Source organism: Homo sapiens, chromosome 10 (genome assembly GCF_000001405.40).
Source record: "Homo sapiens chromosome 10, GRCh38.p14 Primary Assembly".
In the NCBI taxonomy this organism is placed as follows: Eukaryota; Metazoa; Chordata; class Mammalia; order Primates; family Hominidae; genus Homo; species Homo sapiens.
Genome location: NC_000010.11, coordinates 46,455,315 through 46,471,917, shown reverse-complemented (window position 1 = coordinate 46,471,917; position 16,603 = coordinate 46,455,315). Strand labels below are relative to the sequence as shown.

At 49.5% G+C, this 16,603-nt stretch overlaps 1 protein-coding gene across 8 annotated transcripts, besides 1 other annotated feature; it reads left to right on the top strand.

Annotated features, from left to right (window-relative positions):
- Positions 1 to 1,249: 1,249 nt before the first annotated feature.
- On the top strand, positions 1,250 to 10,819 carry NPY4R (neuropeptide Y receptor Y4). 8 transcript variants are annotated; one of them, XR_007061972.1, is made up of 3 exons: positions 1,250 to 1,600; positions 4,287 to 4,562; positions 5,355 to 5,693. XR_007061972.1 is itself a non-coding variant. In XM_017016387.3 (3 exons), exon 3 carries the CDS (start codon positions 9,283 to 9,285, stop codon positions 10,408 to 10,410), a length of 1,128 nt encoding a protein of 375 aa, XP_016871876.1. In that variant the 5' UTR covers positions 1,267 to 1,600; positions 4,287 to 4,562; positions 9,224 to 9,282; the 3' UTR covers positions 10,411 to 10,819. The 8 variants fall into 8 exon arrangements, 6 of the variants coding, with proteins under 6 accessions (XP_016871876.1, XP_011538239.1, XP_011538238.1 ...); XM_017016387.3 differs by lacking the exon at positions 5,355 to 5,693 and adding an exon at positions 9,224 to 10,819 and having other exon boundaries at positions 1,267 to 1,600; NM_005972.6 differs by lacking the exons at positions 1,250 to 1,600; positions 4,287 to 4,562; positions 5,355 to 5,693 and adding exons at positions 5,960 to 6,240; positions 8,033 to 8,188; positions 9,224 to 10,819.
- Positions 11,776 to 12,376: a silencer, noted in NCBI's record as "fragment chr10:47089605-47090205 (GRCh37/hg19 assembly coordinates)". NCBI's record gives its function as "represses an EF-1alpha promoter that drives an FKBP-Casp9 reporter gene in an ReSE screen in K562 erythroleukemia cells {active_cell/tissue: K562}" and the evidence as "EXISTENCE:reporter gene assay evidence [ECO:0000049][PMID:32094911]".

Here is a 16,603-nt window from a genome sequence, read left to right as displayed (position 1 = left end):
CAGCATACCATCTGTGGATCTGTGGGATGTTCAGAAGATCAAGGTCTCTGTAGACCACACTATAACAGAAAGCTGGAAAACGAACATGATCTGGGAGAAGACACTGACTTTGTACTTCTATCCTTGCCAGGTGAAAGCAAACTTCTGCTGGTTCTTACCGATACAGATGGGGAGAAAACACAAGCTGAGTCAATAGCTACATACTAAGTGCTGAGAGTGGTTAAGTTGTTCTATGTTGCATTTAGAAAAGCAGCTAAAATTGGAGTTACTGCCTGATTAAATTTACGACGACATACAGTCATTCTCCAAGATTCAGCAACTTCCTGCACAGGCTAAAGAGCTAAAGAGGTGAGCCAAGTGGGCAGAAATGTGACAGGCCTCCCTGTCCCTGCATCTTTCATGTCTTTAATCATGGCATCGATCCCTGTAATTCCCCTAGAAATACAGTAATGCAGGTTTACTATTTGCGTAGGGAAAGAAAATCCCAGGCTCCTGGGCCTGTTCAACCATTTCTTTGACCTCATCTCTCCTTGCTTGATTTTATACCAGTTGTGCTGGAGTACCTTCTAATATGGTTTGGCTCTGTGTCCCCACCCAAATCTCATCTCTAATTGTCATCTCCACATGCCGAGGGAGGTACCTGGTGGGAGGTAATCGGATTATGGGGGCAGTTTACCTCATGCTGTTCTCATGATGGTAAGTTTCCACGAGATCTGATGGTTTAAAAGTGTTTGGGAGTCCCTAGCCTCTCTCCTGCCGCCATGTAAGATGTACCTTGCTTCCCCCTCTGCCATGGTTGTAAGTTTTCTGAGGCCTCCCCAGCCATGTGGAACTGCGAGTCAATTAAAGCTGTTTTGTTTATAAATCACCCAGTCTTAGGTAGTTCTTTATAGCAGTGTGAAAATGGACTAATACACTTCCTTAATGAACTCTCTCAGAAAGGATTCAGGAAATGTAAGCTTGCAAGTTTAGAAATATCCTTATTCTACCTTTACACTTGATATTATCGCTGAGATGAGCGTTTTAGGTTCAAAATATATTTCCAGGAGTCCTAAAAATATAGCTCCATCTTTTCAGAGTCTTCCATCATCCTATGTTGTTGACAAGACTGAGAATGGTCTCTGTCTCTCCTTTCCTTTGTAGGCAACCTTTCTCTTCCTGCTCCCACCCATGGAACATTTTAGAATCTTTTTTTTTTTTTTTTTTTTTTTTTTTTTTTGGTGTTTTGAAATTTTGCAGTACCTGTCTAGGTGTGGAGCAGTTCCTCGGGCTTCCTTTTAATCTGTAGCTCTGGAATACTCTTGCTATTGATGATTCTATGTGTCGACTATTTTGCTCACACCCCACCCAGATGCATTCTCTACTGTGGTTCTCTGCTCTTCCCTGTGCCAGGGGAAGCTGATGGCTCCTTTGCTGGCAGGGCTCCAGTTGGGTTTGGTCAATGGGAGGGACTGACAGGAGACTGGAAGTGGAAGGAGAGAGAGGTTGGTAGAATTCTTTTCTACTTCCCCTTGCTTCCATGCTGTCTGGAGGCGGTGGCATGCCTCCACACTACAGAAGCTCCCACTGGGGGCCCTTCCTCTGCAGTCCTCTGGCTGTGGTAATGTGGTTTTCTCCTTTTGTTCTTTTAACTGTAGGGTGGTGATTGCTTCTGTCTTCTGCCAGTCTCTGGGTGCCTCACCATTTCTTGTTTCTTTCCTTTAATGCTTCCCACACCTCTGTAAGTTACCTTTTTATTAAAATCCCTTTGTTTGACAATCTGGGGGTGAATTATGTGTCCTGTGCAGACTATGACTGATATGCTGCCTTTCATTGTCTTGATTTTTCCTTCCTGGAAATTTTAGTAATTGGATGATGGGTCATTAGTGTTAATCATCCATGTCTCTTATTTTAGCTCTGAAGTTTTCCATCTTTCTGTGTTTTTGCTCTACATTATGGGATATTTCCTAAGCTGGTTCTCCCATCCCTTCTAATGATGTGTTTTCAAATTTCAGTAGTCATGCTTAGTTTTCAAGGATTCTTTCTTGCTTTCTTAGTCTGTCTTATTTCATGGCAATCTGCTCTTGTTATATGGATTCAGTAATTTCTCTAATTTAGGCATTAAAGGAAGTTTTGGTCTCTTAAAGTTATTTTCTATTCCCTAAGTTATTTCAGCTTCTTTTGGGGTCAGTTATTTTGTTTATTCATCTTGACCTATCTCCTTTGTGCTGTTGATTTCCTAAATGTGTGAGGATCTTTGCTTCTCTGTTATAAGTACTGGAAAATAAACTGGTTTCCCCGGATAGCTGATGTGGCTTCCCTCTGCTACAGCCTTCCATGAAAAAAGTAGGACAGCTTCCGGGAGCTAGCTATATGTGAGTGGACCATGCTTGGCAGCTGCCCTTCAGAATGCACAGGTTGCGGGCAGGGATGGCCAAGGACATTTCTCAGGGAGCTGTGTGTGTGGGATGGGTCTCTGAGAATGGAGAGCTTGATGAGTTCAGGCCGTGGAAGCAACATCTACACAAGCCTGGATCTGAGAAACTCAACCATACTCCCTGAAAATGGAGAGTTTACATGCAGAATGAGTCTGGGGGAGGCAGCACTAGAAGGCCTGAAAGAGGAAGAGAGTCAGACTGATTTCAGAGGGACCCATCCTAGAGGGACCACTGCCATGACTCCATGGGGACATTTCCAAGGGGAGCCACAGGAGGTTTCACTGGAGAGTTGTGTATGTCTGTCCAGTGTCTAGGAGGTGCTCACCATGGCTGAGCTTGCAGGGCCTCTTAGGACTGTCCAGGTGAGATGTGTGGGTCGTGATGAGGGTTTGGAGAGGTTTCCAGCTAGAATTGGTCGGGACAGCCCATTAGCTCTGGGGCAGAGGCTCAGGGAGGTGGGCAAGCATGCAGGACACAGGAATGCTTATAGCCACAGCTCTGCAGGGTGTTTCTTGCCCATAACTGTGTGGAGAGCCATTCTCATCTCAACTCATTTCTTGCCACAACATCTCCCGAGGCAAACTTTGTTATTAGCTCCGCTTTGCAGATGAGAATCTGGGGCAATGCGAGACGGCTTCTGTGCCCGGCTTGTGACCAGTCACCACACTGACTCTCAATGTGGTGTAAGCAACTGTGAATGGGCCTGATTCCAAATCCCAGCAAATTTACAGTAAGGAGGGTGCCTGGGGTCTATCCATCCCCTGACTAGCTGATCTTCAGCTTCCTCATAGGACCAGGGGGAATACTGAGCATGCAGTGGACTGAGGTTCAGAGAGGTAATGTGGAGCGCTGCACACACCTGAGGGAGTTGTGCGCCTGTCTGACTTCCGGGTGATTCATGAGGAACATTCCTGATGGGGTGGGAAGGGAACCTGTCACTAAGCTATTTAGGAGAAGCAGTCTCCAGCAGGTCACACCAGCCAGCCACTTTTATGGCAGAAGGAAAATCCTACCTAGCCCCTTCCCCAGAGATGGCAGAATGCAGCCTGGCTGACTGGCAGAGCCTCTCAGGCTGTGCTCCGGACCCTGGACTCCAGCAAGGGGGAAGAACAGCAGCTCCCAGTTCTTTCTTACAGACTGCTTTCTTGAGGAGCTTCAAGTGCTCTGGCTATGATTGGTGCAGGGCTCTGCTGCCTCCAGAGGGTGCTGTCTCCTTTCCCTAGCAGAGGCAAAGGGTCTGGCAGCCAACTCTGGGAGTATTGGTTTAACCTGAAATGTCTGCTAGGAAGAGCTACCTACCCCTCTCCTGGGCATTATGGTCCTGAAGGAAGAGCTTGGACTTTGGATTGAAAGTCCAGCCCTACCATCTACAAGTTGGCTGGCTGAGACAAGACACTCTACTTCTTTGAGGCTCAGTTTTCTCGCCTGTGAGATGGGATGATCACACCACACCAGTTAGGCATGAGGATGGACTAAGGGCATGTTCACATGCTTCTGCCTGGCAAGGGAGCTGTTTGCTGCTTTTACCACCATTTCAGCTCTTCTGCTGTTCTCTGACCCACAAGAGCTAGGGTTCAGGCTGCGTGCCTTGCGCAGTAGTTCTCAAATGTGTCTATGTGGAAGCTTGCCTCCAAGGGCTTACCAGCAAATCCAGACCCCACACAGCTGCCCTGCAAGAAGGAGGTGACAGTGGCTGCGTTCTTGCCTGCACAGAGGACGGGTGTCCATAGAGCTCCCAGCTGGAGTTGAGCAGTTTCTGGTCAAGCAATGTTCTCTGATTTTACATGTCTGGAAGCTACCGTTACAATCAGGTCTTCTTAAATGTCCTCCCTCCCTCCGTCTTCCTTTCTTCCTTTCTTTCTTTGTCAGATGCTGTGTGTGGACTTGTGCTGGGATCTGGAGGCGGAGACAAGAGCTGTGACCTAGACATAGGGGAGTGGGGAGACAAAGCTGCTCAGGCAGACAACCAACTAGGCTGCTACATCTGCTTCTGCAGCAGAGCATGGGAGGGTGGTAGGAATTTGTCATGGCAGCAGGGACATCGGAGCTGGGGTGCAACGGAGGAGCAGCCGCTTTCCAGGTAGTCAAGACAGGAAGGAGCATGGTCCAGAAAGAAGAGATGACAGGTGCCAGTCTACAGCGATGGTGAGCAGAGGCCTGGGGGCTTGGCAGGTGGGTTCGCATCCTGGATCTGGCTGTTTCTTAGCTGAGTGACTTTGGGCAAGTTGCTCAACCACTGAGTGTCACTTTGCTTCATCAGCACGATGGGAATAAAAATGCCCACCTCTCAGAGCTGTTGTGATGATTAACTAAGGTAGTGTCTGCAGAGTCTCTGCACTACAAACGGCAGCTGCCATTCTAGAGGGACCACTGCCATGACTTCATGGGGACATTTCCATGGGGAGCCACAGGAGGTTCACTGGACAGGTGTGTATGTCCAGTGTTTAGGAGGTGCTCTTGAAGCAGATCTGTTACTCTCAGGAGGTTCTCTAAGCGCATATGTGACTTTGCCATGTGGGGATGGGGGGCAGGGAATTATAAGCTAGTGTATTCAAAACAGGAGCAGCCCTTGTAAGCAAAGCTGTTCCATTATAGCCAAGTCATGTGCATCTCAGCTCCAAAGGAGAAAGTGACCATTCTCATTGAATTCTCATCGCCACAACCTTGGGACTGCCTGAGATAAGACACTCCACTTCCAGGGCCCACCCTGAGTTTTCACTCACACCCTGGATGCCCATCTCCTTCCCTCACCCTGGCTGACATTCTCAGCCACACTGCCCTCCCCTGGTCTCCAGGGGCTGAATGCTCCCAGCCTCAGGGCTTTTGCCGTGGCTGTGCCATCCATCTGGCCTATCGAACCCATTTGCTCACAGCATCTCACCCCCTGTAATAATTTATTTCCCTCTTTCCTTGTACCCTGTCTGTCTTCTCCCCCAGGGCTGAGAGCTCCAGAAGGAACCAAGGACAGGGAGCCTGTCTTGTCCAGCTCTGGTGCCCAGCAGGAGAGCCAGGCTCATAGGAGGTCTGCAAGTAATGTTTCTGGACGAACTTATGAAAGGCAGGTCTTTTTATACCCATTTCATGGATGAGGAAACTGAGGCAGAGAGAGAGAGAGACAGGCAGACGCACACACCCCTAGACAGAGAGAAACACTCCTGGAGAAAGAGAAAGGGAGGGAGAGAGGGAGGGGGAGGGAGGGAGAGAGAGAGAGAGAGAGAAAGAAAGAAAGAAAGAAAGGAAAGAAAGAAAGAAAGAAAGAAAGAAAGAAAGAAAGAAAGAAAGAAAGAAAGAAAGAAAGAAAGAAAGAAAGAAAGAAAGAGAGAAAGACAGCGCAGCTCCAGCCTGCCTGTATCCAGGGTTGAGGTGGGCGTGAGAGACACACGCAGGCAGGGCTGCAGTTCCGGGCAGGCCTTGGGGGCTCAAGATGCGGCTCCCCAGGGCGAGTGCTGGGGTCCCGGGGCAGGCGGGCGGCTGGAGCCCTCTCGTGGGCGGGCGCAAGGGGCAGGCTGGGCGGGCGCAGGCGGGAGCGTAGCAGCCGCTCCACTCCGCACGCAGGCAGCATCGGGGCAGCAGGAGCAGGTGAAGCAGGCGCGGCTCTGCCCCGCGCCTGGTGCCCCCTGGGCACAGGAGTGCGGCCGGGGGCGGGGCCGAGTGGGCCCCGGTACGAACCCTCCGGGAAGCCGGGCGCGCTGCCTGCCCTTGGCCCGGGGCGCAGAGCGTCACACTGGATCTGGGGAGCATCCTACCCCCACTGTGGACCTCAGTCTCCTCACCTGAGACATGGGCGGCCCCATCCGCACCCTGTAAGCCGCAAGCCAAGGAGGTAAGGGGTGCATCTGAGGTGTCTGGGCGCTATGGGCATTAGGATATAGTAGCTTTTGCTGAGATTTCAGGAGACAAAGCAAAGGGCCTTCCCTATTCTAACCCCACTGGGAGATTAGCATTGTGTGTATGATTCATTAATTTTCCTCTGATTGACTGGGAAGGCAGGCTGCAGGGGGTCCCTGTTGGGGCTTGCAGCTGGTTCTAGTTTTTGTATCTGGAGAGCTGCCTGGGGACAAAATGCAGAGACACCATTTTATTGACCTTGCGTAATAATCTACCCTCCCCCTCATACACTCGCCACCCCCTTGGGTGTGCCTGAGGGACTTGAGGTCCCCTGGTCCTCACTGGTCAGTGTACCCCAAGCCCAGCAGCCCCAGGCAGATGCCCAACACCACCTTTTCAGTGCTCCTCCTCCTCCTGTCTTGGCCCTCTCTGCCAATCCATTTTCTATATCCAAGTGATCTTACTGGAATGGACCTGACCTTGCTGGTCTGGCCCACCACTCCAGCTTCATCATCTGCCACCCTGGAACCTCTTATTCTGCTTACTTTTCCCAGCAGGCTCTGCTCCTTCCTGCCTCTGTGCCTTTGCACATGCTGTTCCTTGCACTTCGAGTTCCCTCCTCTCCCTGTCCCTTTGGCTGGTTGACTCCTCTTCAGCCTTTGAGCCCTGTACCATTGCCACCTCTTCTCTCACCTCCCTGCTCCCTGCTCCTTCTCTGATCTCTCAACTCACAGGCCTCTCTTTCATATTGGTGTTGGCAATGGCAATGAGTTCCATCTGCATTCGTGCTGGTCAGCCCCTCTGCTCTGGGAGGGCCATGACTGTATAAGTCATCTTTGCAGCCCTTGTTTCTAGCCCAGGGCTTGACACACACTTATTGAGTGGGTGAATGAAGCAGTGAGCATTTTCTGGAGCCCTCCCAGCCCAGTCCTTCCACTCTGATCCTGCTTTAGGTGGTTGGTTTGGGATGAATGGTGTTTCTCCACACCACTGGCCAAGCCTTGCTGATGGTCACCCAGAGCCTTGGGTTCTGGCCCATTTGCTGCTTCTGAGTGCAGTGCCTCTGCCACAGGTTCATGCAGCTGCGACTGTTCTTTATCTTATATTGGGCCCTGTGTTTGGCTCTGGAATAGTTTATTTTGCCATGTTCAGCCCCAAATGGCCCTTTTTGCCCGAAGACCATAGTGCTGGAGAAATCTTCCTGCCTTCGAGATCTGGTTCCTAAATAACCAGACTGTAAACTATCAGGTGAATTCACAGCTTGATCTTTTAAATGACCAAATGAGACTCTTTTTTTTTTTTTTGAGACAGAGTCTCGCTCTGTTGCCCAGGCTGGAGTGCAGTGGTGCACTCTCTGCTGACTGCAACCTCCGCCTCCCAGGTTCAAGTGATTCTCCTGCTTCACCCTCCCATGTAGCTGGGACTACAGGCATGCACCACCACACTTGGCTAATTTTTGTATTTTCAGCGGAGACGGGGTTTCACCATGTTGGCCAGGCAGGTGTTGAAGTCCTGACCTTAGAAACTCATCTTTATAAGTAGATCAGATGCACAGCAAGTGACATTCATGACAGCCGACAAATAGATTTTACTGAGCTCTGGTTGATTTTGGCCTTGTGCTCTGCAAAAACTGCCTTAACATAGCAATTGATCATGTAAAAAATACATATGGCCATGATATGAGACTTAAAGAATATCTCAAATAGGGTTTTCTGCTATAGTGTTTTACAAGATGGGGTCCAAGGGCCATGTGCATCAGAATCACATAGTCTACTTGTTAAATACAGATTCCTGGCCCCCATCCTGGATTCACTTAACTACATCTCCTGGTGGAAGGGCCCTGGGATCTGCACTTTCAACATGCTTCTAGAATGATTCTGATGTTTACTGAAGGTTGAGAACTGCAACCCTGTGGGATTAATAATGACTAGAGAATCTGAGAGGTGAGTCACAATGATGTATGTAGTGGTATGGTGCTTCCCATGCAAAACATCCATCATTGGCACTAACACGGGGGAACTCTGGAGTCTAAATTCCAACTCAGTCTTGGCAGGGGGTCCGTTGTGCTGAGGAGGTCCTCGGAGAAGGGACAGCCTGTACCAGGGCATAGAGATGTGGAAGAGTCTGGTGTGCTTGTGAGCTGCACACTGCATCAAGTGACTTGAACATAGTCATGGAGTAGGTTCTGTGGAGGGCACTGGGCACCTGTGACTTTGGCCAGGTATGTCTGTGCACATGGTGGGTAGTAGGAAGAAGCTGGTGTGCTGATGAGCCAGGCTTTGCATACTGGGCAGTCTTCAGTTTTGCCAGGTATCACCTAAAAAACAAGGCTACCAGGGCAGGGAGGGGCTGAGACCAGGAGGGTGCACTGATTGTGGATCCCCGAGGCTTTAGCTCTATCTTGAAGGGAATGGGGTGCCGTGGAAGGACACAAGCAATCCTGTGCAGAGTGGCATTTATTGCTGTCTCCATTAAGATAAAATGTGACAAGGGGCATTCTACCCATGTTCCCTGAACAATTCCGTCACTAAAGTCTGCATACAGCACTCCAACTTCTTTATCATCAGAACAGCCTCATCCTGAGGCCGGAGGGAATTAGTAGAACAAGTTCTGGCATTAGATGACCTGAGTTTGTAACTGGGCCCTGTTACTAATTAGCTGTGTGACTATGGGCAAGTTGCTTTCCATCTCAGGGTCTTAGATTCCTCATCTATGAAACGGATTGATAATATCTACCTCTAGGAATAAACTAGCTAATAGACGAAAGTGCTGAGCACAGTACCCAGCATGCAACAAGTGCTTCTAACAAGGTAGCAATCATTGGATGCCAATGTCTCACCATAAGCCTTAGGTAATAGCCCCTCCAGATACCAGCCTTGGGTTGGAAGCAGCTGAGAGCCTTTCTACCCGGCCCTGCTCCTCTCTGGATTCTACCCTGGGCATGATCCCTGAGTATTGTTTGTCTGTTTGCCTTGTAGGCGTCATCCCTCAAGTGTATCACTTAGTTCAAGAGTCCTGGAATCTTTTCACATCCACTATGAACACCTCTCACCTCCTGGCCTTGCTGCTCCCAAAATCTCCACAAGGTGAAAACAGAAGCAAACCCCTGGGCACCCCATACAACTTCTCTGAACATTGCCAGGATTCCGTGGACGTGATGGTCTTCATCGTCACTTCCTACAGCATTGAGACTGTCGTGGGGGTCCTGGGTAACCTCTGCCTGATGTGTGTGACTGTGAGGCAGAAGGAGAAAGCCAACGTGACCAACCTGCTTATCGCCAACCTGGCCTTCTCTGACTTCCTCATGTGCCTCCTCTGCCAGCCGCTGACCGCCGTCTACACCATCATGGACTACTGGATCTTTGGAGAGACCCTCTGCAAGATGTCGGCCTTCATCCAGTGCATGTCGGTGACGGTCTCCATCCTCTCGCTCGTCCTCGTGGCCCTGGAGAGGCATCAGCTCATCATCAACCCAACAGGCTGGAAGCCCAGCATCTCACAGGCCTACCTGGGGATTGTGCTCATCTGGGTCATTGCCTGTGTCCTCTCCCTGCCCTTCCTGGCCAACAGCATCCTGGAGAATGTCTTCCACAAGAACCACTCCAAGGCTCTGGAGTTCCTGGCGGATAAGGTGGTCTGTACCGAGTCCTGGCCACTGGCTCACCACCGCACCATCTACACCACCTTCCTGCTCCTCTTCCAGTACTGCCTCCCACTGGGCTTCATCTTGGTCTGTTATGCACGCATCTACCGGTGCCTGCAGAGGCAGGGGCGCGTGTTTCACAAGGGCACCTACAGCTTGCGAGCTGGGCACATGAAGCAGGTCAATGTGGTGCTGGTGGTGATGGTGGTGGCCTTTGCCGTGCTCTGGCTGCCTCTGCATGTGTTCAACAGCCTGGAAGACTGGCACCATGAGGCCATCCCCATCTGCCATGGGAACCTCATCTTCTTAGTGTGCCACTTGCTTGCCATGGCCTCCACCTGTGTCAACCCATTCATCTATGGCTTTCTCAACACCAACTTCAAGAAGGAGATCAAGGCCCTGGTGCTGACTTGCCAGCAGAGCGCCCCCCTGGAGGAGTCAGAGCATCTGCCCCTGTCCACAGTACATACGGAAGTCTCCAAAGGGTCCCTGAGGCTAAGTGGCAGGTCCAATCCCATTTAACCAGGTCTAGGTCTTCTCCCTGCCATGTCCCTTGCCAGGCTCTTCCACTTAGCTAAGTGGGCACACTGCAAGCTGGGGTGGCACCCCAGCATTCCTGGCTTTCTGGGGTCCAGATAGGCTGGCAAGAGCTGTTTTTGCATCCATTTGCATCGTGAAGACTGGCATTTTGATACTTCAGCTGTTTGTTCCTGGGAGAATTCTGAGCACAGATTCCAGAGGTCACAGTAAGCCTTGCAGCTTGAGCTGAAAGATGCCAGAGCCGGAGATGTCTGCTGGCAGCAGGCAGGGTTCATTCTGGTGACACAGCAACAGATGCCTGGCCTGGGAACCCAGGGATTTCACCTCCACCAGTGAGACCACGGGGCCACTGTGGGGTGAGGGAAGGAGCGCTTGGAGTCAGAGCTCTAGACCTTGGTCAACTCTTCACCTCTGTGAGAGATGGTGTGTGGAGGTGCTTCAGAAGTAAAGAATTCTGTGGATGCAAAGCAGTGGGATTACTGTTAGATCATTAGCGCATCCAGCTGAAGACAATAGATGCAGTAGTCTTGGCTTACAGCCCTCTGCAGCAGGAATTCCAGGACTCACTTCCTACTCCATCCCTTTTCTCTATCACTGTGTCTTCCACCTTACATGGAAATCAGCCTGCAAGTTCCTCTCCTCGATGAGATGGCAAGCGCCTTGCAGGTGAAATCCATACCATCATGGGGCTTGTGTCTTACATGCCATGGACAGGCCCTGGCACAAGGAGAGAGCTCCAGGGAAGTTTTCCATGGTGGGTTGATGGTAAAGGTGCCACTCACTGCTGAATGTTTGGTGCTGGACAGGAGTCCAGCATGGGAAGGGGGCCAGGGCTCAGGCTCCTGCAGCCATAGTCTCCTGCCTGCCCTTCCTTGCCTCCCAGGACCTCATTTGATACAGTAGCTGGACCGAGACTCTGTGGCTCTCCCCACTGTTGACCCACTACAGAGGCCTCCAGAACTCAAGGCTATGGCTGCAGCCTCCTTCACTCTGTGCTCTGACCACTGAGCTGACTTGCCCCAGATAATGTGCCACGTATCTTTCAAAGCTTCCTCAGGGTATTGGGCATCCCAGTGGCCTTAAGTAGGATCAGGGGCAGGGAGTCCTGGGAGTCTAACTTCATGGGGCACTGGCTGAAAAAAGCAGGGGTCCCCTTCCTCCAGCCATCCAGGGAAAAAGGAGAAAGGGCTCCAATGAGTGTGAATATCTTACCTTGGGGGTTATGGCCTAGTCCTCTGGATGCTGAACCAGGCCCAAGGCTTCATCTATGTGTGGACCAGACAGCCTGTCCTTGCAGGGAAAGAAATGTCAAGACTGCTCCTGGGCTGCATTGGATGGGATGTCTCCGCATGGTTCTGTTGGCTCAGACTGACCCTCCAGCAGAGTGGACAGTGGCTGGCCTACTATAGCCTCCCAGGGCAGGGTATTCATGTGCTGGAGCCCTGGAAGAGCCTCATCATAAGCCAGCATAGGTTCTGCAAAGGGGGTCTGGCATAGGGCTCTCACCCCTGACCAAGAACCGGTGGAACTGACGCCCAAGACAAGTGCTCTTTGAGCCAGCAGCTCCCCTCCTGGAGCTGTTTGTCTTATCGCTTCTTTTGGTCACATCTCCCATTCAGTTCCTTTGTTCATTTTTGTGTTGGATTTTGGGCAGATTTCTTGAGCCACTCTCTTGGACACAGCTTGTGCTTGTCCTGTGGTGCCATCTGCTGCTGGCTGCTCCAGGTGACCACCTGCCAGCGAAGCCCAGGCTCCGGGACCCATCTATTTTGTGAAAAGCCCACATGCACAAAGCAACCCCCAAATGCCAAAGGAGCCAAGAGACCAAAGAAGGAAGCAGACAAATCCAGTTTGTTGGTATTGAGTGATTTATTGAGGGAACTTTTAAGCAGGCGGGTGGTCTCGGGTGGCCACAAGACAGGCAGATCTCTGCACTGTTACTCTCGGACCCAAGGCTTATATACCAAGGGAAAAGGATATACATGCTCCAGCAAGACAGTGAAAGGTAGTGTGCCAGAGCAGGCAAGAACGCCATGTGCATCATAGCCCAGAATTTGCATGATAACATCAAGCTTGCTTTGATCTAAAAGCAGGAGTACATATTCTTACACTCGGGACAGTAAATAAAGTAGGAGTCAGGAGGCATTCATGGGACTGGGGCTAATCAGAAGTCAACATGGGAAAATTAGCATCCAAGATGGAGTCACTTTTGTCTTCCCATCACCCCAGAAAGATGTCATTGTTCAAGCTTCCCAAGGAATTGGGGGCCTCAGGCCCCCCTGGATCCCACGCAAGTGCCTGGAGTTGCTTCTCATTATTAGTCTCGATGGTGCCAAGATGCTGGGGACAAAGATGATTTCAGGTGCAGACATGCTTGAGGACGGAGGGCCAGGCTAGGCCTCTGGGGAAAGTGTTTGGTGCTAAGAATTGGGGTAGTGGGTAGAAGCCTCGTTGAGTGTGTTCTGTGCCCCAGCATCACCTGGAGCTTGTAGATATTCAGAGTCCTTGTTGCCAGCCCAGCTCGATTGAATCCAAATCCATGTTTTATCAGGATCCCAGGTTAATTGTGTGCACATTAAAGTTTGAGAAGCTCTGCTCTAAGAAACAGGTTGCCCTGGAGCCTAGAGACACTGGGTAAGAACCTGTAGACACCCATCCTAGTTCTGGGAACGTCTCTAAAATTGTTATTGCTGAAAAGGTGCATTCAGTTTTGGTTGTCTGTCTCATCTCTGGCTGCATGTGGTCATATTTTTTGTGAGGCTTTTTCATTCTTTTGATAAATATTTGCCATGTGCATAGTTTGCATAGATATGTTCTTAGTGAACATGGCTTTTTGTATTCTGCTCTATTTCACTTAAAACTGTATCATCAACAGTTTTTCATCTTGCTGGATATCTTTTTTTTTTTTTTTTTTTGAGAAGGAGTTTCACTCATGCTGCCCAGGCTGGAGTGCAATGGCACGATCTTGGCTCACTGCAGCTTCTGCCTCCTGGATTCAAGCAATTCTCCTGCCTCAGCCTCCTGTGTAACTGGGATTACAGGTGCCTGCCACCACACCCAGCTATTTTTTTTTTTTTTTTGTATTTTTAGTAGAGATGGGGTTTCACTATGTTGGCCAGGCTGGTCTCGAACTCCTGACCTCAGGTGATCCGCTCTGCTCTGACTTCCAAAGTGCTGGGATTACAGGCATGAGCCACCGTGCCCAGCCTAGATATCATTTTTGATGGCCGCTTACAAGTGTACGAACTGTCCCAGTGAAAGCCAGTACCCCTCAGTATCTCTAGCTCCTGGGGGTGGTGGGGGGGGTGGGAGGGCATCTCTAGCCAGCAAGTGGACCCTCTGCCACCCATTGTGGGAGGTACCCACCTTACAGAGGAGGATCATGGCTGGAATTGGAGACTCATACCACAAAGACTGACTGGGAACCCTTGGAAGATGCAAAACTTTATCACGTCCTGGCTGTGAGTGCTAAAACCCTGCCTAATGCTAGCCTTTCTTTTTTAAAGTATTGATGTGGCCTTTTTTTTTCCATTATAAAAGTAATCATATTCATTCTGAAAGATATACAATATATACAAAAATAAAATTGAAAAAAGGAAATTATCAGGAGTTCCACCACTCAGACATAATCACTGTTTACATTTTGGGGAGTCATTTTAAAAGTTTTCATATGCATAGTCATATACATATGTCTGTTTTTTAAAAAAATGGTTGAGAGCATAGTGTGTCCACATGGGAACTTATATATCATATTTAAGGATTGTTTTATATCTTTTTTGTTTAACCTGATATAAATTTTTATTCACTTGTTTATTCATTAAATATGTCAGACACTATGTTAGCTGTGGGGATACAGTGGTTGTAATCAGACATTGTCCCTGTTCTATGGAACTTAGAGTCCATTGATAGATATATCCTATGTCCTTAATATCATCTGTTGTGGCATTCTGAGCTGTCTCTAGACCTGTTGCATAGAGTTTTATGATGAACGTCTATGCAAAGAACCTTTTCTATATTTGGAATTATTTCCTTAGGAGAGATTTCCAGAAGTGGAATTAACAAAGGGCATGGACAGTTTTCAAGGCTCTTGACGTGTGCTGCAAAGTTGATTTCCAAAAAAGGTCTGGAACAATTTCAGGGCACTCCCTGAAGAGTGCCCATTTCACCGTACCCTGGCCACTGTTGGTGATTTACCATTAACCAAAAGACTTTGACCTGTATCGCCCAGACTGGAGGGTGTCCCAGCTCCTGCCTCCAGGTCCAGCAAACACTGTGGGCACTGACCATTCAAGGCTAGCCTGACCCTGTCCCTCTGTGAAACCTTTGGGGGTTCCACAAAGCCTTTAGGGTTGCAGGACCACATAACTTATCCAAACAGGGATACTTGAGCATGAAAGGGGCCACCATGAATAATCACCCTGGGACAACAGGCAAAACTACCCTGGGAAATGGGAACATGAGATCATCCTACTATAGATAAATCTGATCCCTTTAACATAGCTTGAATTCAACCCTCTCCACCATCTGGCCCCAACTTACTTTTTCAGTCTCTTTGCATCCTGACATATCACACGATCCAGTCACAGTCGGCCTGCAATTACCAACCATGCCTTGGGTGTCACTGTCTCTGTACATCTGCTCCCGCCATTCCCTCCTCCTGCCTCCAGCCACCCCAACCCCCGCCAGTCTGCAATGCGCCCCCTCGCCCATCTGTGTAGGTCCAAATCCCACCCTTGCTTCAAAACACAAATTAAATGGTACCATTCAATACTGCTTTCATTCAACAAACATGTACTGACTGCTTACGATGTGTCAGGCACATAGAGTACAAGACCGAAAACATCCCACCTCCTGTGGAACTTTAATTTGTGTGTGCAACTGTGACAACTGGTCCTAAAGATGAACACAAAATGATGTGCCAGAGAGTCTGCCCTGTTATGGTTTTGAATAGACACACCCACCACCCCACAAGGTTATGAGCTCTTTGAGGGTAAAATCCAAGAGGCTCATCCTCCACCCTTGCAAAACCTCTGACACACCCTTGGATAGAGCAGGCACTTAAGCATTTGCCAAGTGAAGAATTAATATGAAAGAAGCTTACCTATTCACTCCGCAAGAGTTTTCTAATAACCAGTTCTGGGTTCTCCATGAATCTGAGATCAAAGGGGAGCCTAAATTTCCACATACCTTAGAGAAACACCCCCAGGTCCTACCACTGTGACTCTCTGTCCACCCTGATACTGGAAGAAACTGAAGTCACCGGACTCACTGATTGCTGCTTCTTGTGAGGTTAAGTGACTCATCCAAGGTCACACAGCTAGATAGTGACTGAGCCACTGGAGGGGTCAGGAGGTGATACAGGAAAGACTCAGAATGCATGAGTGGATAAGTCACCAAAGGAGTCACTGGAGTGGAGGGGCCTGGAGGGGAAGGTGACCCTGAGTGCTGGAATGGCCAGAGAAGAACAAACAAGCTAACAGCCCCAAAGACCTCCATTGTCCCCAGATCCCATTCACTGTCATCTCCTGAAGAACATCACTCTCACACCATCAGTGTTCTCTGCTCCTTTTTGCACAAAACTCCTCCAGAGACTTGTCTAGCCTCTTTCTCTCTCTCTCTTTTTTTTTTTTGTTCTTTTAGAGACAGGGTCTTGCTCTGTCACCCAGGCTGGAATGCAGTGGCATGAACATAGCTCACTGCAACTCGAACTCCTGGGCTCAAGTGATCATCTCACCTCAGCCTCTTGAATAGCTAGCACCACAGGTGCATACCACCATGTCCAGCTAATTAAAAAATTAAATCTTTTTTTTTCTTTTTTTGATAGAGACTGGGTCTCCCTATGTTGTCCAGGCTGATTTTCCTTTTTTTTTTCCTTTTTTGTAGAGATGAGGTCTCTCTCTGTTGCCCAGGCTGGTCTTGAACTCCTGGCCTCAAGTGATCCTTCTGTCTCGGCCTCCCAAAGTGCTGGGATTGGCATGGGATACTGTGCCTGGCCCCCTGTCTAATCCTGAAGCTTCCACTTCCTCTCCTCTTATGTGCTCACCAGTCCATTCATATAGCTCTTGCCATGTTGCCAAATCCTGTGGCCAGTTCTCAGTCTTGTCTGATATGGTCGTCAGCTGTATTGGGCAGTTGGTCACTCCCTTCTCCTTGAGACTCCTGCATGTGGCTTTTT